The 23,751-nt window shown below is 44.1% G+C and overlaps 1 protein-coding gene and 1 long non-coding RNA gene across 11 annotated transcripts in view, besides 6 other annotated features; one reads left to right on the top strand and one right to left on the bottom strand.

Moving 5' to 3' along the window:
- Positions 1,852-2,146: a silencer, noted in NCBI's record as "tiled region #2103; HepG2 Repressive DNase matched - State 3:PromF". NCBI's record gives its function as "represses a minimal TATA promoter and a strong SV40 promoter by Sharpr-MPRA in HepG2 cells {active_cell/tissue: HepG2}" and the evidence as "EXISTENCE:reporter gene assay evidence [ECO:0000049][PMID:27701403]".
- Positions 11,667-16,203, bottom strand: TSC22D1-AS1 (TSC22D1 antisense RNA 1). Its single transcript, NR_038381.1, has 3 exons — positions 15,829-16,203; positions 14,922-15,057; positions 11,667-13,997 (listed from the first exon to the last, which is right to left on the bottom strand). It is a non-coding gene; the product is annotated as a TSC22D1 antisense RNA 1 (long non-coding RNA).
- Positions 14,077-14,126: a silencer, noted in NCBI's record as "silent region_5309". NCBI's record gives its function as "represses an Ori minimal core promoter by ATAC-STARR-seq in GM12878 lymphoblastoid cells {active_cell/tissue: GM12878}" and the evidence as "EXISTENCE:reporter gene assay evidence [ECO:0000049][PMID:35858748]".
- Positions 14,307-14,506: a silencer, noted in NCBI's record as "silent region_5308". NCBI's record gives its function as "represses an Ori minimal core promoter by ATAC-STARR-seq in GM12878 lymphoblastoid cells {active_cell/tissue: GM12878}" and the evidence as "EXISTENCE:reporter gene assay evidence [ECO:0000049][PMID:35858748]".
- The window catches only part of TSC22D1 (TSC22 domain family member 1), a 145,202-nt gene continuing 136,205 nt past the window's right edge, over positions 14,755-23,751 (top strand). For 4 of the 10 annotated variants that reach the window (XR_001749705.3, NM_183422.4, XM_017020810.3 and 1 more), the window contains exon 1: positions 15,769-18,936. Coding sequence is in view for 9 of the 10 variants with exons in the window: in NM_183422.4 (NP_904358.2) it covers positions 16,025-18,936 (2,912 nt within the window). In the remaining variant the exon portion in view is untranslated. Of the gene's footprint in view, positions 18,937-23,751 lie in introns of all 10 variants that reach the window. The other 6 variants (XM_047430716.1, XM_047430718.1, XM_047430719.1 and 3 more) reach the window with 3 other exon arrangements.
- Positions 14,777-15,016: a silencer, noted in NCBI's record as "silent region_5307". NCBI's record gives its function as "represses an Ori minimal core promoter by ATAC-STARR-seq in GM12878 lymphoblastoid cells {active_cell/tissue: GM12878}" and the evidence as "EXISTENCE:reporter gene assay evidence [ECO:0000049][PMID:35858748]".
- Positions 15,027-15,736: a silencer, noted in NCBI's record as "silent region_5306". NCBI's record gives its function as "represses an Ori minimal core promoter by ATAC-STARR-seq in GM12878 lymphoblastoid cells {active_cell/tissue: GM12878}" and the evidence as "EXISTENCE:reporter gene assay evidence [ECO:0000049][PMID:35858748]".
- Positions 16,057-16,296: an enhancer, noted in NCBI's record as "active region_7674". NCBI's record gives its function as "activates an Ori minimal core promoter by ATAC-STARR-seq in GM12878 lymphoblastoid cells {active_cell/tissue: GM12878}" and the evidence as "EXISTENCE:reporter gene assay evidence [ECO:0000049][PMID:35858748]".

The following is a 23,751-nucleotide window of genomic DNA, read 5'->3' as shown; positions in this document are numbered from 1 at the left end:
GCCTTGCTAGGAACCAGCGCCCTTCTGCCCAGGAGCCTGTCTGCCTCCTGCGGCCATCCATGGCAGGGTGCTGGCATCAAAGGGCACCTGCAGGCCACTACCCAGCCACCCTCAGCTTCCCCTCCTGTGCTCCTCAGTGCCCAAAATCCAGAGGGGGCCGAGGTGGCAGAGGGATAGCATGTCAGCACTGGCCCAAGCCTACGCATACCTGGTCTGGCTGTGACAGTGCTTGGGCTCCACCCAAATCCCACTTTAAGATCAGAGTAGGCCCTGGGAGTGGGGAGATGCTAGACAGTGGGAGTAGGCACCTCTGAGTCTGCAAGGGCATGGGGGGGCCTTCCCAGGCCCCCCAGGCCTGCAGGATACCTGGCGCTGCAGCCCCGGTTTTCAGTGGGGTGGGGTGGGGCTCCTGCCTGTTGCAGGGAGCTGGAGGCCCTGATCCACAGCCAAGACTTGGGAGGCTGTAGCCCCGCCCAGGAGGGCGGAGCTCCTGCCTACTCCCGGCTCCCAAGAGCACAGAGGTGCTGGAGTTGCTGCTGTAGCTTAGGCAGCTGCAGTTGTACCTGGGGAGGTCCCGCCCCACTAACTTGTAAGGAGCAGAGTTCCCGCTTGTCCCTGGCTCCCAGCGCCTCGCACCGGCAACCGGCAGCGCCCCCTCGAAGCCTGGGGCAGGGGCTCCAGGTCCTCACTGGGTCTGGACCGGCATCTCGGGTAGGGGCGATATTGCTGAAAGCTCCTGCTGTGGTCCTGGCTCTTAGGGGTGGCCTGGAGCTCCCCCTCGCCAGGCGGGCGACTTGGCCAGGCCCCATTGTGGCGGCCCCCAGGGTGGCGGGCTGGGGCTGGGGGTTGCGGTGGGGTGGAAGGGTGGAGGAATTGGGGGTAGAGGGGTGGGGGCAGTCTGCCTCCTCCCTGTACCCTTCTTGCAGTGGCCGGCGTGATGGCAGCGACACACCAGATGGCCCACTGCTGCCATCATCATGTATAATAACAATATAGGGCCGGGTGCGGTGCCTCACGCCTGTAATCCCAGCACTTTGGGAGGCCAAGGCGGGCAGAACACTTGAGGCCAGGAGTTGGAGACCAGCCTGGCCAACATGGAGAAACCCCATCTCAACCAAAAATACAAAAATTAGCTTGACATGGTGGCATGCACCTGTAATCCCAGCTATTCAGGAGGCTGAGGCAGGAGAATCGCTTGAACCTGGGAGGTGGAGGTTGCAGTGAGCTAACACCACTGCACTCCAGCCTGGGCAACAAAGCGAGACTCTGTCTCAATAATAATAGTAATAATAATAATAATAAACAATATAAGATGATGTTCGCCAGGCGCGGTGGCTCACGCCTGTAATCCCAGCACTTTGGGAGGCCCAGGCGGGTGGATCACGAGGTCAGGAGATCGAGACCATCCTGACTAATACGGTGAAACCCCATCTCTACTAAAAACACAAAAAATTAGCCGGGCGTGGTGGCAGGCGCCTGTACTCCCAGCTACTCCGGTGGCTGAGGCAGGAGAATGGCGTGAACCTGGGAGGCGGAGCTTGCAGTGAGCCGAGATCGCGCCACTGCACTCCTGGCTGGGCGACAGAGCGAAACACCGTCTCGGAAAAAAAAAAAAAAAGAGAGAGAGAAAGCTGTTCAGGCCAGGCATAGTGGCTCAAGCCTGTAATCCCAGCACTTTGGGAGGCCGAGGTGGGTGGATCACCTGAGTCCAGGAGTTTGAGATCAGCCTGGCCAACATGGCGAAATCCTGTCTACAATTTTGCCGGGCTTGGTGGCTCGCGCCTGCAGTCCCAACTACTCAGGAGGTTGAGATGGGAGGATCCATTGAGCCCGGAGGTCCAGGCTCCAGTGAGCCGTGATCGCACCACTGCACTCCAGCCTGGCCAACAGAATGAGACCCTGTCTGTATGAGATCCAGTTTCTGTATGCCTGGGCTTTCTTTTTGTTTGAAGAAGGCATGCCTGCCCCGAAAAATAAATAAATAGAAAGCAGGCTTCTTACTCTTACAGAGACCTCTCCCAGCCGCTCTCCAACCAACTGGAGAGTTCTGTGTTAATGTTAAACAGTATCCCCCGTGCAGTCTTTGAAGAATTCTGGACATTACCTCAGTTTCCTGAATGAAGTTCTTGCTCCACGATTGACCCCCTTGTCCTGCCTTTAGTGTTTATTCTTCAACGACCCAATTATTCCAGATTTCTGCTGGTGGTCTAAGTATAATACAATTTACTGAAATGTACTGTTAGAATCATTCTAGAATGACCTGTTATGAGAAATGTAGGCACAAGCTGAGTTTTCTGTTCCACATTAAAAATGAGCTACAATTTAGGTGAGTTCTTAGTAAATGTGTGCAGAGAGATCTCATTGAAACAGCAATCAATTCTTCATTAACTTTGCTATTAGAAGCAAGCAATAATAAAATTCTCCCAAAATAGTGGATAAACTATAATATACTTTGAATTAAATTTAATGGATTTCTTCCCACTCAATGGATTTGACTGCCTAAACTCTTTTGGTCTGAATTTTAAATGATTTCATATCCCCTGTGCACATATTGCGGTGTGGCCATGGGAGACCTGATTGGTGTTGGGTAAGAGGTTCAAGGTGGTCTGGGAATGGAAACGGCCCATGGGAAATTCACATGCAGATAATGAAGTGGTGGTTGTACCTGAAATAGTGAACAAAATGCAATTCAATCTGTGTAGAGACTTCAGTCTCTGCTCTTCTGGGGCCTTTCCTGCATAGGACAAGCAAGTTAATGCTTTTAAAATGATCCCCATGTTCCTTCTTGAGAATGGAATTTAAAGTTACATTTTAAATCTTCGGTTCAGTGCTTTAAAGGTAAAGTTGATAATTTATTATAATTATTTAAAAAAATAAAACCCACTTTCTAGTCCTTCTCTTTATGGAATATTCTATCTGTCACTATGTAGACAATGGCCTGCTGTGGAATAAAATTGGTGAATGCTAAATATATGAGATAGAAACACAATTTTATTATGCATGCTTATTTGCTATAATCACATTTATCAGGGAACAGGTAGCCTCAAATAGTCCTTTAGTGTGTTGTTATTGTCCCTGTTTTCCATTAAGTTTTGTGGATTTTCCTGGTCTTACTAGTAATATTACTATATTTAGTTATATTGCAAACACAATCTTCCTTTTGGTAGGCTTTGCTCTTCCTAAATGTCTGCCATGAAAAACCAGCCAACCAACCAACCAGCCAAACAAACAGCAAAAGCTCAATTACCAAAAAAAAAAAAAAAAAAAAAATTAAGACAACCAGGAAAACTCAAACGTTTACTCAGAATCAATTATCTTACTAAGAAGCTGTAATTGCAGTTTTTACATATGTACCAAGCACTAACCATATGCTCAGTCCCCAGCAGATGTATGCATCAACGAGGCCTCACCATCATGGTTTCTAAACTATATTGCTGTCATTATTTCACATTAAAATCATTCTTATCTAATTTCCAAAGATCCATATTGTGCCTATATGTAATTGGTGGATTAATAGGTATTTACAATTGTTGTAGGGCTTCTTAGTTCAGCTAAAAGCCAGGTTCTTGTCACATGGCCATGAGAAATTAGGCTCGCAGACACTTTGAAAGGTAAGAAGAATGGAATTTATTGGGTGAAAAGGAAAAAAAGGGAAATGGGGGCTCTTGCTTGCTAGCTGGTTTCCTGCCTCACAGATTGAATCCCAGGTTCCACCCCAGAACAGAAGAAGCCAGGCTGGAATCCCAGACTCCTCTCCCATGCAAAGGGCGCAGACTTCCATGGCTCATCCTATTCTCCCAGTGTGCAGGCCAGTTGGAATTTCTCCCAGGACCCCCTTTATACTTGGCTGTCTCACAATGATTTGGAAGTCTCTGATTGCCTTTAACCTGAAGGAAATATATCTTTGGTGAAATATGAACCAAATTGTTCTCCTACTTCCTATTTGTCCTTTGTTTAGAATAAGGTTATGTAAATACACCTTTGAGCTGGGGATGAGGTTTGGGGAAGTTGCCTCAGTTTGTGCCCTCATTGATATGTAAAAAAAACAAAAAATGGCATTTTTGTCTCCTAAAGAACTGGAAGTAGATATTTAATTAATGACACCAAAGTTGGACCAACTTTAAATGTTTGTAGTTTTTCTTTTCATTATATACATAAATACATATATACATACATATATATATTTAAAATTAATAGTGTAGGCCATGCGCAGTGGCTTACACCTGTAATCCCAGCACTTTGGGAAGCTGAGGTGCATCACTTGAGGCCAGAGGTTCGAGACCAACCTGGCCAACATGGCAAAATCTTCTCTCTACAAAAAAATACAAAAATTAGCCAGGCATAGTGGCACACACCTGTAATCCCAGCTATTAGGGAGGCTGAGGCACAAGAATCACTTGAACCCAGGAGGCGGAGGCCGCAGTGAGCCAAGATCATGCCACTGCACTCCAGTATGGTCAGCAGAGCGAGAACTTGTCTCAGAAAAGAAAAAAGAAAAAAGAAAAAAACATTGATATTGTAAACCAAAAATAAAATTTGAAGGACCCTAAACATCTGAATGGACCCCTCCTCTCAGTCAAGGACATGCCAGAGTCATCTAAAAATCTAGTTCAGGCCATGAAAGAAGAAGGGGTTGGACATGCCTCATTATACCTCTCTAGAATTAACGTCAACACAGACCTTTATATGGTAGTCTATTCTCTCCAAAGCCTGTTAATTGGAGGCTTCATCTGCATGATGAAACATAGATCTCTGCAACCCCTTATCCACAAACCCTTATCATAACCCAGACATTCCTTTCTACTGATAACTCTTTTAATCAATTGCCAATCAGGAAATTTTTAAATCTACCTATGACCTGGAAGCCCCACCCCCTCCCTCAGACCTTTGAGTTGTCCTGCCCTTCCAGATCAAACCAGTGTAAACCTTACATGTATTGATTGATGTATTATGTCTCCCTAAAATGTATAAAAGCAAGCTCCACCCCAACAACCGTGAGCACATGTCATCAGGACCTCCTGCAGCTGTGTCACAGGTGCATCCCTAACCTTGGCCAAATAACCTTTCTAAATTGACTGAGACCTGTCTCAGATGTTTTGGTTTCACAATAGTGATGGGGTCTCACTAAGTTGCCTCAGCTTGTCGTGAACTCCTGGGCTCAAACCATCTTCCCCTCTCTGCCTCCTAAAGTGCTGAGTTTACAGGTGTGAGCCACTGCACCTGGTCCCTGTTCCTTTTTTTTCTAAGGAGAACAGAATCCCATATTTCCCATCTTGTAGTCCTTAACAATGTAGCAGCCCTTAAATTATCATATACTTTTTTTCCTGAGACACAGTTTCACTCTGTTGCCCAGGCTGGAGTGCAGTGGCCTAATCATGGTTTACTGCAACCTCTGCCTCCCAGATTCAAGCAATCCTCTTGCCTCACCCTCCTAAGTAGCTGGGATTACAGGCGCACACCACCATGCCCAGCTAATTTTTGTATTTTTAGTAGAGACGTGGTTTCACCATATTGGCCAGGCTGGTCTTGAACTCCTGATCTCAGGTGATCCGCCCGCCTCGGCCTCCCACAGTGTTGGGATTACAGGCGTGAGCCATCGCACCTGGCCCCCTCTACTTATTTTTATCCAGTTTCTGTAGCAGTATTATTCATGAAATACACTTATTATGCACTTAGGACGAGCAGAATGGTGAATGGTGTTATTAGTTGACTGCTGCTGCACAATTACCACAAAGAAGAAAATAAAATATTACTATTTGGGGGTTTTGTCAACATGAAGATCGCTGTAATTTCAATTTCTGAGTTACGGTAAGGAAAATGGGAGCAGAGGGAAGAGTACAGTGGAGCAGTGAATGGGAAGGGAAGGGAAGAAGGGTTGGGGACTGGTGTCCAATATCCAATGTATTTGGCATTCAAAAGACTTGACTTGTATATCAAAGCCATTTTGAATGTATGTTAGCAACTGAGTCTTAAACGAGTGACTCATCTGGCACAACTAGTAATAAGATGAATGCTAAATTAATGTTTTATTAGAACAGAATTACTGAAAACAGTGCCAAAGGCATTCTCTTTGGACATTTTAATAATGTGGAGGTGGCCGCACTTTTGGCAGCACTTTGAGAGGCTGAGGCAGGCAGATCACAAGGTCAGGAGTTTGAGACCAGCCTGGCCAACACAGTGAAACCCTGTCTGTACTAAAAATACAAAAATTAGCCAGGCATGGTGGCACATGCCTGCAGTCCCAGCTACTCAGGAGACTGAGGCAGGAGAATCGCTAGAACCTCGGAGGCAGAGGTTGCAGTGAGCTGAGATCAGGCTATTGTACTCCAGCCTGGCTGACAGAGCAAGACTCCGTCTCAAAAAAAAAAAAAAAAAAAAAAAGATTCTTCATTTAGTAGCATCTGCAGTCTTTTGGCCATATAAGGTAACATCACAAGCTTTGGGGATCAGGATGTAGATATCTTTCGGAGGCTGTTATTCAGCCCACCATGATTATATAAATGTTCACAGCAATTTAATGGATCTTATTGTCATCCTCCAATGCTATGATTGTTACATTCTCCTCCAGGACCCCCTCCTTCCCAAAGCTATCAGAAAAGGAGATACAGATTCAACTCCTATCCTATTACCATTTTCACCGAACTTTGCTTCTTACAAAAAAAAAAGTGCTTTGGGCATGATGCTTAATGAAAAAGAGTAGTCAGCAAGTTGTTATTGGCTTAGGTTGGGCAAGGAGAATTTTACAGGGATCAAGTGAAAGAACAGAGAAGGAAATTTAATACCATTGCATGCCCTTGACCAAAATTTTAATAATGAGCTTGTTTTTAATGCCGTAATGTCTGAACTTTATGTTCTTCAGAAACACCTTGTGAAACGTTCAGTAGTAAAGTTCATGTGATCACTTATGTTGACAATGTTACTACATAGTATAGGATTTAGAACATTTTTTATAAGAACTTTTAAGTTTCTGCTATATACTTGAAATAACAAAGAAAACTTAGCACCTTTCTCAAGATGCTTTTAATTGGAAGTATTCCTTTCAAAGCTCTTGTTTTTATTATCAAATAATTTGGGATCAACATTGGGGTAAAACAGTATTACTCCCATTTTACTCGAAATATACCTTGAGTTGTAATACAGTTGTACATCTACTAACCATTTTGTATGTCAGTTATATCAGTATGTCTCTTGAATAAATTCTTTTGAAACACTGAAATTAAACCACTAAGTTGGCATTATCATTCCTGTCTATAAATAACTGTGGCAAGAAAATACCTGGACCTTTCCAGTTTTTGATGGAAAACTTTGTTGGTATCTTTGCAATTAACTTTATGTTTAACTCAGTGAAGGGGCTGAGTCAGTCATATTTTTAATTTTCTTGAATGTGATAAGTGTGTATATATTGCATATAAAACAAATCATTTTGCTGGGCTTTTTCTCCTAAATCCCATCTCACAATTTTGTCTAAAAATCTAACATTTCCTCTTTAATCATTCTAATTTATCATTCATTAGAAAGGTTTTGTAAACATCTACCATATGTAAATTGTGCTGTTGCATTTAAATTTTTGTGGTCATAATATTTTTGGGAATTGATTTTGTGTCTCTGACTCCAATTTAGAGTGCACACATTTAGGATTTTCTTTTCTTCTTTTATTAATGGTATTAAAATCAGAAAAGATGTTGGCCTTTAAGACTACTGATTTCCTGTTTTCTACAATGAAAATAACTGGAAATGTCAATTTGAATGTGTTACTAAAAATTATTTTAAAACTATTTTATCAATTTTCTTATCTTAAAAGATATGTTAGAGCAGAGGGAGAAAATAAATGATCAAAGGAAATTTCCAGACTAAGGAATGACCCCAGTAGCCATTCTTTTTTCTTTGAGCTTGAAGACTTGAGATATACCTAAATATTTGTGAATGTAATCTTTAAATACAAAGGAATATTGGTTGCTTTCATTTTTAAATTTCATTAATTTCTTTTGAGGCAGGGTCTTTCTCTGCTGCCTAGGCTGGAGTGCAGAGGCATGATGCTTATGGGCTCACTGGGCTCACTGCAGCCTTGACCTCCAAGGCTCAACCAATCCTCCCACCTCAGCCTCCCAAGTAGCTGGGACCACAGGTGCACACCACCACACCCAGCTAATTTTTGTATTTTTTGTAGAGATGAGGTCTTGCCATGTTGCCCAGTCTGGTCTCGAACTCCTGGGCTCAAGCGATTGGTCTGCCTCAGCCTCCCAAAGTGCTGGGGTTACAGGTGTGAGCCACGGCACCCAGCCGCTTTTGTTTGTACAACTTGACCTTATTTTTGTTGACAGTGAATGGACAAAGGTCTTATTAGAATCATGATATAAACAAATGTGATAAATGTGTTTATTTCTATAATTTTATATTCAAAAAATATATAAATACAAATGGGCCCTTAGAACATGTTGAAAAGACTAGGTTATTACTCTTATTACTCTCTCTATTCTACGGGCTCTTATGTTCAATAAAGACTAACTGCTAAAACAGGAAAACATTTATTTTGTCCTATATAGATAGCATTTCTCACTTATGTGTGATTGATGCCTTTTTTCAAGCATTTGGCATCTGTTTCGATCAGTGAAGAATCCTCCCACTTAAATCATTGTTCTGTTCCTTTATGGCTAATTCCTACATGGCCACAGTAGTCTCTAAAATGTACATTCTTAGAATGTCTCTGCATAGGAGAAAATGTGCTTATAGATTCTTTGGAGATGTCTAATTAGAAAAATTAAAACATGAGTATTCTGTAGAAACAACTTGGGAGCATGAGTTGGCAGTAGCCTGAATTAACAATATGCCTTGGAAGCAGCCGTGAAGGGGTGGTTAGACTGCCAGGATTTTCATTTTAGCCCTACCACTCTAGTTAAGTTGTAAGACTGAAACCTCCCGGCACCTCACTTTCCTCACTTGTAACATGGGGCAATTTCAGCTCTTACTTTGTATAACTGTGAGGACTGAGTGGGATAGAACACTTACAGCATTGAAAACAATGTGCAGTATATAGTAGGCATTAAATAAAATTAGCTAACACTGGAAAGATTTGGAGGGCTATTTGATCATAGTCTTTAAAAATATAAATTAATAAATTCTTTTTTCAATGTCACTTCACAGTACTGTAGCAGACATTAGAAATGATTTTTTTAGGTTGTGAGAACATTCTCCAAATTAACACGTTTATAAATCAGAAAGGAGTGTAGAAGAATCTATAACATTTACATTGGTTCAAACAGGGAAAAAGTCTTTTATCCTCTTCGTACAGAAGAAATGCTGTTTCAAATTGTGTATATGGCACATCTTCTTTGGCACTCAAAAGCACTGAAGGAACATTTATTAATTTCAAGAGATTTTTGAAAAATACTTGTCTCTAATGCTCAGACTTTTTCAGAAAAATCCTTAAATACAGAGGCATAGAATCTGATACTAAGAGGACATGAGTATTCAGATTTAGGCATGAATCTTGGAAAAGTTATTTAACTTCCCTGTGATTACTCACTTCTAAAACGAGAATGATAATGTCTTCTCCCTCAAAGGGTAGAATTAAATGAGCTAATGTGTATCAGTGTGCCTTCTGAACCACAAATTCAAATAACTATACTTTTCTGTTTTATAAGCATTATCTCCTTTGAGGATACAAAATTGTTTAGCTGAACTGAAATATACTATTGAAAAACTTAACAAATGCTGCCAAAATTAATCAGTTATAAGCTAAACTGTACTCATTAAAATCGAAATTAAAGTTTTGAAATAAGCATTTTGCGATATTGATAGAGATGGCACACTCCTGGTCTCATTAAAAATTTTACAGAGAGCAAATTGATTAATAAACATACTGCAATATCCCCTTGCATTAGGTTCTTCATATGTAAAAATGTGTGATTATTTAAGTTTATAAGTCATATTTAAACATCTGACTTTTTTTTTCCCAGATGACATCTAAAAGCTATAAATAAGTATTAATAATATTACATGACTAAAGCACTGGTTAGCCAGAATAATTACTGGAGTGGAACAGTGGCATATTTTCTGTACACATTTCTCTTTAATAGTATCTATTGTTGTAGCTCAGCCATTTGGAGTACAGGTATTCCCTTTCTGCTTTTCAAAGGCATTGCTTTTGGAGAATTACTTTATTTATTTATTTTTTTATTTTTTTGAGACGGAGTTTCACTCTTGTTGCCTAGGCTGGAGTGCAATGGCATGATCTCGGCTCACCACAACCTCTGCCTCCTGGGTTCAAGCGATTCTCCTGCCTCAGCCTCCCGAGTAGCTGGGATTACAGGCATGCACCACCACATCCGGCTGATTTTTTTGTATTTTTAGTAGAGATGGCGTTTCTCCATGTTGGTCAGGCTAGCGTTGAACTCCCGACCTCAGGTGATCCACCCTCCTCGGCCTCCCAAAGTGCTGGGATTGCAGGCGTGAGCCACCGCGCCCGGCAAGAATTACTTGATTTTAACTGATCTATTTCGCAGTACTCACAAATAGATAATTGTGTTACAATGTTCAGCAAGTTTTTTTTTTTTTTTTTTTTTTTTTTGAGACGGAGTCTCACTCAGTCGCCCAGGCTGGAGTGCAGTGGCGCGATCTCGGCTCACTGCAAGCTCTGCCTCACGGGTTCACCCCATTCTCCTGCCTCAGCCTCCCGAGTAGCTGGGACTACAGGCGCCCGCCACCACGCCCGGCTAATTTTTTGTATTTTTAGTAGAGACCGGGTTTCACCGTGTTAGCCAGGATGGTCTCGATCTCCTGACCTCGTGATCCGCCCGCCTTGGCCTCCCAAAGTGCTGGGATTACAGGCATGAGCCACTGCGCCCGGCCGCAAATTTTTTTTTCTTTATTTTTGAGACAGAGTCTCACTCTGTGGCCCAGGCTGGAGTGCAATAGCGCGATCTCGGCTCACAGCAACCTCAGCCTCCCGGGTACAAGCGATTCACCCTGCCTCAGCCTCCCAAGTGGCTGGGATTATAGGTGTGCCCCACAGTGACCGGCTAATTTTTGTATTTTTAGTGGAGAGGGTATTTCACCATGTTGGCCAGGCTGGTCTCGAACTCCTGACCTCAGGTGATCCGCCTGCCTAAGCCTCCCAAAGTGCTGGGGTTACAGGCGTGAGCCACTGCACCCAACCCAAATTTCCTATTTTTACGGTACATTAAACAGTAAACATGTCCAAATATATAAGGCTGGTTTGTAATGTTGCAACTGGATTTAAGTGAGCACCGCAATACAGGCTAATCTTTGAGTAAGCAGAAAAGTAATTCAGAGGCTGGGCGCGGTGGCTCACACCTGTAATCCCAGCACTTTGGGAGGCTGAGGTGCATGTATCACCTGAGGTCAGGAGTTCGAGACCAGCCTGGCCAACATGGTAAAACCCCGTCTCTACTAAAAATACAAAAATTAGCCGGGTGTGGTAGCACATGCCTGTAATCCCAGCTACTCGGGAGGCTGAGGCAGGAGAATCGCTGGAACCCGGGAGGCGGAGGTTGCAGTGAGCTGAGATTGTGCCATTTTACAGCCTGGGAGACAGAGCATGACTGTGTCTCAAAAAACATCAACAACAAAAAAGTAATTCAGAGGTACAGCTTCAGAATGAAAACAGCTAAAATTCGATCTTTCAAAAGGCAAAGGATAGCTCTAAGTACTTGGTTTAAAGGATTTAATGACTTTATTATACATAGCAGTCGGCATTTAATGTTTATATAATAAAAATCCAGACCTTTTTAATTAAAAGATGATAGTATAACAAAATCTGGCTCTTGAGGTGCCTTCTCCTTGTTTCAACGTATTTGTGTTCATATATTGCTGTCGTAAGAATTTTGGAGGGGGAGAGACCCAGATTTTTGAAACTCAGATTTCCCTAACTGTAGAGTTGCCCTTTTTATTTTTTATTTTTTATTTTTATTTTTTTGAGACGGAGTCTCGCTCTGTCGCCCAGGCTGGAGTGTAGTGGCCTGATCTCGGCTCACTGCAAGCTCCGCCTCCCAGGTTCACGACATTCCCCTGCCTCAGCTTCTCACGTAGCTGGGACTACAGGCACCTGCCACCACGCCCAGCTAATTTTTCGTATTTTTAGTAGAGATGGGGTTTCACTGCGTTAGCCAGAATGGTCTTGATCTCCTCACCTCGTGATCCGCCCGCCTCAGCCTCCTAAAGTGCTGGGATTATAGGCACGAGCCACCGCGCCCGGCTGACTTGCTCTTTATATCTTAGTGGGACTTGATGCAGCCTAAGCAGGAGTTTGAAAGTGATATGGCAGGCAAAAATTAATACACTTCAAAAGATCTTATTTTCTTACGTCTTAAATTCTGGATTTTTTTTTAAACCTTTATTTTAAAGGGAATAACACCCCAACCCTTCCTCCCCCATCAAAACAGCTCAAACAGTACCCTTTGCTACTGGTCATTAGAACAAGTATCTGCTTCCAGAGGGGCTATCTCAACAGCTCTTTTACTCTATCAGCTTTGGGTAAGACTTTAATATATGTGTTTATTAAGCGTCAAAGCATATCAGCACAATCATGGTGAGTTATTTAGGTGGCCCAAAGGGTATACAGCTGCTGTTTGGGGTAATTTAAAACTTTGACTTAAAAAACAAAACAAAACAAAACAAAAAACCTTTGACTTAAGGCTACATTTTGAGAGATCAAGAGCATTTTCTTTCATACTGCAGTCCAAAGAAAGGACATTCCACCCATCTACATTCCATTGCAGTTTCAATCGGTTAGGGTAGTTTCTATTTTCCATTCAAAAACTATTGAAAAAGAATGTCAAATTTGCATTTCAACAATGGATGGCAGCGATTAACCAGGCATATTACTTGCAACAAAAGCTCAAAAAGTAAAAAAGAAATTATTTTTGTGAAAACACAAATAGCCATAGTTCTATAAAAACAACCAATCACATATTAATATCATAGAACAAGTAGTCTTCTCAAACATATTTGATGTTTATTACTGTATCACTTTGAATATTTGCGAGAGCCTATTTACTTCTAGCAGAGGTTTACATTAGCAATATAAAGTAATAAATAAATAAATAAATAAATAAATAAATAAATGAAGTCCGGGTTTTTCTTTTCAGTGTGGGAGACCCCACATAAAGCAACAATGTATCATAGCTTTGACACTGGATAAATGGGATGTTAAGAGTGCACTTCTATTCAATAACATGCAAATGGTGACATAATTCACTTTTTGAAAGCTTCCCCTTGGAACAAGGGGAAGAGTTCAGAGAAAACTAAAGGTAAAAAGTTGAACTGACAACTAGAGGTGTATCAAAACTGCAAATGACAATCGTTTTTGCTTTAACAATCTTCTGAAATAGGAATGTAAATCCTTGAGACTTCCTGAATCAGAGGTCTAACCATAAGCGTTGATTCCCCTAACAACCTAAATTTAACAAAATGAAAATTCCTCCCTACAGTTTTTCGGCTTGCTTTATCATTTTTAAATTCCTGGGAAAGACTTACATTCTCGATTATTGGTAAGAAACGCTTAGAACTAGGTTTTGACATGAAATACCAAGAAAGTAACCGCCAGTAAATTGCCCCCAATCAAACCTAACATTGCTTCTGTAGAACTACATTTGGACCCATGAAATGTAACGTGTGTGTGTGTGTGTATTTTAAAACTGGAATTTCGGATGGCTTTTTCTTTTCTAGCCCTAAAAGGCATTCTTATCATTTGTGTTGCTCACATGTCCGGACCACCTTGCCTCCTGAGTCAAACCAATGGGGGATATAGCCAGGACGATGAACGAAAAAGGCGTCGCTGCTTGGAGACACCTGTTGAGGTCAGTCGATTACAGGGCCGGCCTGCTTCTGTCCTCCAGTTAAGGATGGATTGCAACCACTCCTCGTTAGAGAAGAGCCTAGCCCAGAGGAGCTCAGGCAGTTAACTGGAAACAGCTGCAACATCTGCCCGGCCGCCTCGCCCCTGCCCGTGGAAGGGCGAGGGGACCGCATGGCAGCAACTGCACTGCACAAAAGACAACACCTATCACCGGGAGCCACCGGCCTTCCATAGACCCCACAGCTCCCGGCCCTAGGGCATCCCCCGAGGAGGCAAGGGCCGGGGGCGAGCCCAGGTGCGGCGAGGGGGAGGAGGTTTCCGCCACGCGCCAGGGAAGAAAGCCTGACTCATGTCGTGGCAGCGGCAGCAGCCGCGGCGGCGGGCTCCTGGGAACTGAAACTCGTGATGCTGTTGCTGCGGAGAAAAGCCTCATTACCCATTCCGCAGGCGGGGGACACCACCCAAGGCGCGCACACCAAGCGCCGGCGCTCCCGCCGCCTCCGCCGGCCCTTCCGCGCCGCGCCCCCTCCTCTGCCGCGTGCCCGCGCGCGCCGGCCGCGAGTGTGAAAAGAGCGGACACACCTAACCTGGGCGCGCGGCAGGCGCGCACCCTGCCCGCCCCCACCGGGCCGAATCACGCAGTCCGACCCGGATTCGCTCCTTCGGCCGGAATTCCCCACCCCCACTATCCCCTCCGGCTCCACCACTCCCGGCTTCGGCGCCTCTGCCAGCCTTCGGTAATTTCCGTCGGGAGACCTGGCGCTCGCCTAGGCCCGAAGACCCGCCGCCTCCTGCCCCGCCAGACCCGGCTTTATGTCTGCGGCGCCGAGGCGCATGCGCAGACGCCATCTTCCCTCCTCCTCCTCCGCCTGCCCCCTCCCCCCAGCCACCACCGCCTCCTCTCGCCGGCGGTCGCCCCTCCTCCTCCTGCGCTCCGCGCTGGTCCCTCCCCTCCCGATGCCGCGAGAGACTGGGGGATACGGTGGAGCCGGGGGAGCCGAAGAAGAGCACTAGTAACAACCACCACAGCCCCCTCCCCGCCCGACACCCTCCCTCGGCACCCACTCACTCCCCCGCCCCGTTTGCCGACACCGACCAACCCCACCTCGTTCCTTTGAACGGCGTCGGCTGCAGTCGCTGCACCAGCCCGTCTGGCCACCAACGCCGCGGAGAAAGGAGCCGCCGCCGCCTGCGGCCCTCTCCCGCCCGGTCGCGGGAGCAGCGGGGTGAGGAAGAGCCGGCTGCGGAGGAAGAGGATAAGAGAGGGTCGCACCCTCCGCCCTAGCGCACGTCCCGCCGCCCTCCGGAGAGGCTCGGGTGCCGGCCCCTTCCTCCCCGAGGACGTGTGCCGAGTCGAGGCGCCTGCCCTGAGGGAGGAAAATGCTCGGGCTCCATGGCTGCCAGTGATGGAGCGGTCCCTGGGCTCCCGCTGCCACCGCCGCCGCCGCGCCCCGGCCGTGCTCCGCGAGGACCCGGCGTCTCTGCGCGCCCGCCCGCGCCTCGTTGCTGGGCTCACCGTACCGGGCGCCTCGCCGCCGCCCCGCTCGCAGCCGCGTCGCCCCGGCCCCAGCCGCGGCCAGCGTTTCCTCACCGAGCAGCCGCCGCGAGCCCAGGGGGTTTGAAAGGGTCTGCGGGGCGCGGGGGGAGGGCCGAGCGGGGCCGGGAGGGGAGGTTTGAGCGACACTGAGCTCGGGGCTCGCTGGCGGCGGCGGCGGCCCCGGGGGTGGCGAGGGGAAGGCGACATTTGCTTGGCGCTGCCTCCGTGCAGAGCGGCCGGGAGGGCTTTGCAGCGGCCGCCGACGCGGCGGGAGGAGGGGGCTGAGGCGGCTTCGGAGTTGGCCGGAGAAGGTGGGCATTTCTCGCTTTTCCTCCCCTTCCTGCGCTCTCCCCCTCCCTCCTGCCCCGCACCCCACGTGAAGCAGAATATAAAGGGGGGTGTGAGGCTAGAGGGGAAAGTGAATGGCGAAGGACTGAAGGGATCCCCCCTTCGGGTCCCCGGCCGCCCTGTTCACCCTCGTTCATCCTCCTTTCCGAAGCTCGCTCTCGAAGGCAGGAGCGACCGGCGCCTTTGGCTGAGGAGGAGGAGAAGGAGGAATCGCGCCAGGCGGAGCGTCAGGTCCCGTTTTCCTCTCCGGCGTCTCCAATACAAAGATTACGGTGCAGAAGGAAATTGCACTCGTCTCCTCCGCGCCCCCGGTACCCAACACAATGCACCAGCCGCCTGAGTCCACCGCCGCGGCCGCCGCCGCTGCAGACATTAGCGCTAGGAAGATGGCGCACCCGGCAATGTTCCCTCGAAGGGGCAGCGGTAGTGGCAGCGCCTCTGCTCTCAATGCAGCAGGTACCGGCGTCGGTAGTAATGCCACATCTTCCGAGGATTTTCCGCCTCCGTCGCTGCTTCAGCCGCCGCCCCCTGCAGCATCTTCTACGTCGGGACCACAGCCTCCGCCTCCACAAAGCCTGAACCTCCTTTCGCAGGCTCAGCTGCAGGCACAGCCTCTTGCGCCAGGCGGAACTCAAATGAAAAAGAAAAGTGGCTTCCAGATAACTAGCGTTACTCCTGCTCAGATCTCCGCTAGTATCAGCTCTAACAACAGTATAGCAGAGGACACTGAGAGCTATGATGATCTGGATGAATCTCACACGGAAGATCTCTCTTCTTCGGAGATCCTTGATGTGTCACTTTCCAGGGCTACTGACTTAGGGGAGCCCGAACGCAGCTCCTCAGAAGAGACCCTAAATAACTTCCAGGAAGCCGAGACACCTGGGGCAGTCTCTCCCAACCAGCCCCACCTTCCTCAGCCTCATTTGCCTCACCTTCCACAACAGAATGTTGTGATCAATGGGAATGCTCATCCACACCACCTCCATCACCACCATCAGATTCATCATGGGCACCACCTCCAACATGGTCACCACCATCCATCTCATGTTGCTGTGGCCAGTGCATCCATTACTGGTGGGCCACCCTCAAGCCCAGTATCTAGAAAACTCTCTACAACTGGAAGCTCTGACAGTATCACACCAGTTGCACCAACTTCTGCTGTATCATCCAGTGGTTCACCTGCATCTGTAATGACTAATATGCGTGCTCCAAGTACTACAGGTGGAATAGGTATAAATTCTGTTACTGGCACTAGTACAGTAAATAATGTTAACATTACTGCTGTGGGTAGTTTTAATCCTAATGTGACAAGCAGCATGCTTGGTAATGTTAATATAAGTACAAGCAATATTCCTAGTGCTGCTGGTGTGAGTGTTGGGCCTGGAGTTACCAGTGGTGTTAATGTGAATATCTTGAGTGGCATGGGCAATGGTACTATTTCTTCCTCTGCTGCTGTTAGCAGTGTTCCTAATGCAGCTGCAGGGATGACTGGGGGATCGGTTTCAAGTCAGCAGCAACAACCAACAGTTAACACTTCGAGGTTCAGAGTTGTGAAGTTAGATTCTAGTTCTGAGCCCTTTAAAAAAGGTAGATGGACTTGCACTGAGTTCTATGAAAAAGAAAATGCTGTACCTGCTACAGAAGGTGTGCTGATAAATAAAGTGGTGGAGACTGTAAAGCAAAATCCGATAGAAGTGACTTCTGAAAGGGAGAGCACTAGTGGGAGTTCAGTGAGCAGTAGTGTCAGCACACTGAGTCACTATACAGAGAGTGTGGGAAGTGGAGAGATGGGAGCCCCTACTGTGGTGGTGCAGCAGCAGCAGCAGCAACAACAACAACAACAGCAACAACCAGCTCTCCAAGGTGTGACCCTCCAACAGATGGATTTTGGTAGCACTGGTCCACAGAGTATTCCAGCAGTTAGTATACCACAGAGTATTTCTCAGTCACAGATCTCACAAGTACAATTACAGTCTCAAGAACTGAGCTATCAGCAAAAGCAAGGTCTTCAGCCAGTACCTCTGCAAGCCACTATGAGTGCTGCAACTGGTATCCAGCCATCGCCTGTAAATGTGGTTGGTGTAACTTCAGCTTTAGGTCAGCAGCCTTCCATTTCCAGTTTGGCTCAACCCCAGCTACCATATTCTCAGGCGGCTCCTCCAGTGCAAACTCCCCTTCCAGGGGCACCACCACCCCAACAGTTACAGTATGGACAACAGCAACCAATGGTTTCTACACAGATGGCCCCAGGCCATGTCAAATCAGTGACTCAAAATCCTGCTTCAGAGTATGTACAACAGCAGCCAATTCTTCAAACAGCAATGTCCTCCGGACAGCCCAGTTCTGCAGGAGTAGGAGCAGGAACAACAGTGATTCCTGTGGCTCAGCCACAGGGTATCCAGCTGCCAGTGCAGCCCACAGCAGTCCCAGCACAACCTGCAGGGGCATCTGTCCAGCCTGTTGGCCAGGCTCCGGCAGCAGTGTCTGCTGTACCTACTGGCAGTCAGATTGCAAATATTGGTCAGCAAGCAAACATACCTACTGCAGTGCAGCAGCCCTCTACCCAGGTTCCACCTTCAGTTATTCAGCAGGGTGCTCCTCCATCTTCGCAAGTGGTTCCACCTGCTCAAACTGGGATTATTCATCAGGGAGTTCAAACTAGTGCTCCAAGCCTTCCTCAACAATTGGTTATTGCATCCCAAAGTTCCTTGTTAACTGTGCCTCCCCAGCCACAAGGAGTAGAACCAGTAGCTCAAGGAATTGTTTCACAGCAGTTGCCTGCAGTTAGTTCTTTGCCCTCTGCTAGTAGTATTTCTGTTACAAGTCAGGTTAGTTCAACTGGTCCTTCTGGAATGCCTTCTGCCCCAACAAACTTGGTTCCACCACAAAATATAGCACAAACCCCTGCTACCCAAAATGGTAATTTGGTTCAAAGTGTTAGTCAACCTCCCTTGATAGCAACTAATACAAATTTGCCTTTGGCACAACAGATACCACTAAGTTCTACCCAGTTCTCCGCACAATCATTAGCTCAGGCAATTGGAAGCCAAATTGAAGATGCCAGGCGTGCAGCGGAGCCCTCCTTAGTTGGCTTACCTCAGACTATCAGTGGTGACAGTGGGGGAATGTCAGCAGTTTCAGATGGGAGTAGCAGCAGCCTAGCAGCCTCTGCTTCTCTTTTCCCGTTGAAGGTGCTACCGCTGACGACACCCCTGGTGGATGGCGAGGATGAGAGGTAAGATCATGTCATATTTCTGGAGACATTCAACAGATTTGAAGTTAATCTATTTAGTAGCTATATGTATGCACAAAATGACTCTAAAACATTGTATATTGTGTTTTGTATGTGAAAAATGCATTTTTATGGGAAGTTTTATAGAGCAAGAGTTATGGAATGGTTTCAGAGGGAGTAGGAAATAATAGTAATATGTAAACAATATTTTCAGAATAGTTGTTGAGCATGTGTTCACATTAAAAACAGGTTTGGGGGCGCCAAGTGGTTTTATTATCTCTAAAATGCTTTTTAGAAATATTATGGAAAGCTTAATTTTTGCTAACCCACATAATAGTTAATCTATTTTGAGCTGCTAAAATAATCTCTTGGGGGGTTGTGGTTCCCACGTTTGTTCTCCTTTACTAGACATCCCTTTTTCATTTCTACTGTGTTTGATCTTAGTCTGTGAAAGATATTGTTGCCTACTTTTCCTAGTCAGATATGGTAGGAAAGATGACTTAATCTGGGTTATATAGGTTGCCCTCATACTCCAACTGACCAACTTTTGCGTACTTATTTAATGGTCATTTTATCTGAACAGTAAAGGAATGGGAATCTTATTTTGTGGGAAAGGAGGACATAAACTATCAAAATAACCAGACTTATCTTGATAGTATGCTGAACATTTTTTCTTTTGCATGGTAGATCAAGGTGGTAGCCATTTTAAAGAACAGAGAAAGTAAGTCTTGGAGGATTGAATTTATAGAGGCGTGAAAATAAGACCTTGGTCTCTGGCTAATCTACTCCACCTGTTCCTTTCTTTCCTTACCAAAAAGATACAGAAAGCCTAAAGTACATTATTAAACCAAGCGTTTTTTCACGTAGATTGGAAATAATATGCCAGTAACGCTTATTGAATCAAATTGTGTCTTTGAAGCTGACTGGCTAAAAAAGTTGTGAAATCTTTCATGTTGATTTTTAAAGTAATGTTCTTTTCACAAATTTTCCAGTCTGTTACTAACCTTGATTAAAATGCTATTATAGGAGTTATGAAAAGACATCATTTTCACGGTGGAATTTGGAGTAAGCGTGCAAGATATTTAATTATTTTAGTATTAGTTGGAGGGTTTTGTGATTGAACTTTCATCAAGCGAATTTAAGCATTTATATTCTATATGTATGTTTGTGGGTTTTGCTTTGGAAAAATTGAGCATATTGCAAAATAGTTGTAATTTTAGAAAAAGAAAACAGGTCAAATGTTTCAGTGAGGTTTGTGTTATTTAGTTGTTTAAAAGGTAAGATAAAGACATGGTTAAATTGATAAAATCTTATCTTTCAAGATTTTTATTATTTTTCTAATAGTCAGGTAATTAAAACCTTGTTACCTAACCAAATGTATTCTGTATTATTTGTACAAAACTGTACTCTAAAAGATAAACTTTTAGGAGGTAGTTTCCTTAATTGTTCCATTATTATTGTTAAACCTTTAATTTTATCATGCTAATACTCAACTAATTTTAAAAGAATTACCACAAATATTAATGTTTTTTAAGTCAAAAGGTTATGATTTGAGTGAAGCCTCTATAAAAACAGCTATATTATGTGGATGCTAAGTTTAGAGAAACAAAAGACGGGTAAAATACACAAACAAAAACACTCATTTTGAATTCAAACTTGCCATGATTTTGTAATTGCCATTTGTGGTCTCCTGGCTTGACTTTCACCTCTTTTTCCTCCTATTGGTAGGACATGATAGGATTTTCCACAGCTTGCCCTTCCAGGCAATTAAAGTCAGATGATGCTACTTTCAACTAGAGTTTTAACTATAGGAATAGGGTCCCAGTTTAAGATATTAATATAAAATTAATTTTTCCAGATAATAATTGAGAAAAGGAATAATAAGGTGGAAATTATGGAATTCTAGAAAGGGACAAAAAGACATACTGAGAAATAAGGAAATATAGCTCTAATACAAGTTGTCTTCAGACACTGTACACATTCAATTATAATTATGTTTAGCAGTCTCTCCCACAAGACCAGGAGTTCCTCAAGAGCAGGGACTGTTTTGAATTTACTACCTATTTGGGCCTTGGTTAGTTAACATCAAAGTTTCGTGATTAAAAACCAGAAAATTTTTGTTTTAGCGGTATCTTAAATTCTGTGAAATCGGAATGTAGCCCTAAAACACCTTGTAAGATCAGAAAAGATATATATTATATTCTTTATTGTGTTTTACTGAAGATTATTTATCACTACAGTTTGGAAAAAAGTTAATTTTCATTTAAATTTGCCCTTGGAAGATAATTTAAGAATAACTACAAGAGAAAACAGTGATATGATTAAAAAACAAACTTTTAAAACCTTTCTTCCCATGGTAGCTTCTGTTGTCACTTGCATCTTCTGGGCTTGGTCACCATTAGTCTCAGGAGAGAGGGAATACATATATAATTTCAATATTATGAATCAGGAAATGTGTTAACAATATAATTTGGGCAGTAGGACAGATGAGGATGGTTATCTTTTAATCATCTTTTGAAATAATACTCTTAACACTTTAGATTATAAAATGTTTAGACATGTGGAAAGTGCCTTCAGTTGATCACTGGGAGAGACTATAAACATGGATCAGGATGCTAAGATTATGTATCTTGTTTTAAAAAAAATCATTCTTATTTAAAAGGTCTTAATGTCAGGCCGTGTGCGGTGGCTCACACCTGTAATCCCAGCACTTTGGGAGGCTGAGGTGGGCAGATTGCTTGAGCCCAGAAATTTGAGACCAGCCTGGGCAACATGGCAAAACCCTGTCTCTACAAAAAAATACAAAAATTAGCCAGGCATGGTGGCGCATGCCTGTAGTTCCAGCTACCTGGAAGGCTGAGGTGGTAGGATCCCCTGAGCCCTGGAGGTCAAGGCTGCAGTGAGCTGGGATCATGCCACTGCACTCCAGCCTGGGTGGCAGACCAGGACCCTGTCTCTAAAAAAAAAAAAAAAAAAAGTCTTAATGTCTTAGACTGTAACATGAACTGTGAATTCACCTTTACAAGAATGGGAAAATACAGGTATTGCATCTTTTATGTTTTGTGATTGTTATTAGCACAGCCTCTTAACGTGAAATGGGTCAAACTTCTATTCATCCTTCAAGACTCAGCTCAGATGTTCTCTTTAAAGCATTCTTTTCACTCAGGGGACATTGTTTCCTTAGCACTTTTTAATATTCCTCTATTTAAGCACTGTACACATTCAATTATAATTATGTTTACCAATCTTTCCCACAAGACTAGATGTTCCTCAAGGGCAGGGATGAATTATTTTTTTGAATTAATTAGCAGGCATTTCTCCTGATTTTTTTTTTGTCATGATTTAAAGTTTATATTGTCCCTCATCTTAAGCACAATTGTGAGAGATGCAGGATCATATAATTTATGCAACAAATGGAAAAGAACTGAATAAAAAGACTTGCTTTTTTGTATCTCTCATCAACATTTTTAGGTGAATTGATGTATGTCTGCAAAGTACATTGCCTGTTTTATAGTAGGTCCTCAAATATTTAAGACGCATGTGTGTTACCTATAAAATAGGAGTAATACTCATTTTGCCTGCTTCTCAGGATAGCAGTAGTATCAGTTAAAATACTTTGTTAACTAAAATACGAAATTATAATTTTTAAAGTTTTTTTTTCAAGATGTACATGCACAGTTTAAAGATAGTTTAAATGGTTTTCCAAGAAATAAATGGAAGAGCTTCCTGCACCCTTACTTTCCAGTTTTCCTTTCCTAGAAACAATCACTTTCACCTCTTTTAGATGATTATTGTGGTATTTACCTCCCAGTCTCTAAATAACTTGCTTGTCTTACCACTAGATATGTAATATAGCCTGCTCGTTAGGAGCATGGACTGTGGAGTTAGATTGCCTAGATTTGATCTTTCTTGTCATTTACTAGTTTTATGTAACATCGGGCTATTTATCCTCTTTATGGTTCAATCTTCTCATTAAAAAAATGATGACAATAGTAGTTACCTCATTGGGTTGATATAAGAATTAAATGAATTTGGAAATTCCCTAGAACTTTGTCTAACTCACATGCCCTATGTAGGTATTTGTTAAATAAAATACACCTTTCATTTCTTTTTGTCTGTATTAACTTCCTGGATAGAAAATGAAGATTTAATTTTGTTGTTACCATATACCTACCTGGTCTCCTTTTTTCCCAGTACCCTTCCTCCCAGTAGTTATCAATATTGATTATTCAGTATTCTTGTCAAATATTACTTTTCCTATCCTGTACAGTGTTTTGTGGCTGCTTCCCTGCTCCATCCCCACCTGTCTATTATAGAAATGGGTTTTCCTCCACTCCCAGGTTTTCATCTGTCAGCGCTGTCTGTTTTCTCCAAGTTGCCCCTCCTTTCCCCACCCTCTTCCCATTTTTGTATGTTTTGGGCTCTACCTTTCCTGTAGAACCTTTCCTTAGATGTCTGGTAAGTCTTGATTGTCTGCTTGCAAATAAGTGTTAAAGGATTAAAGAGCTGATTAGAGATTTGCAGTGTGGGGCTGGCCATGGTGGCTCACGCCTATAATTCCAGCACTTTGGGAGGCCAAGGTGAGAGGATTGCTTGAGGCCAGGAGTTTGAGATTAATTTGGGCAATATAGCAAGATCCTGTCTCTACTATATATATATAATTATTTTTAAAAATTCTTTTTCCGTGTGGCTTGTTGACTGTTAACTTTACCGCAGAGTAATCTGGCTGGAGTTCATTGTCTTTTTTTACCTCTTTGCCTAGTTTTCTCTATATTTATCACTAAATCCACTTTTCATCAGATGCCTCTTAGGATGTTC

The sequence above is a fragment of the Homo sapiens genome, chromosome 13, assembly GCF_000001405.40.
Source record: "Homo sapiens chromosome 13, GRCh38.p14 Primary Assembly".
Lineage (NCBI taxonomy): Eukaryota > Metazoa > Chordata > Mammalia > Primates > Hominidae > Homo > Homo sapiens.
This window is presented reverse-complemented; position numbering and strand designations above follow the sequence as displayed.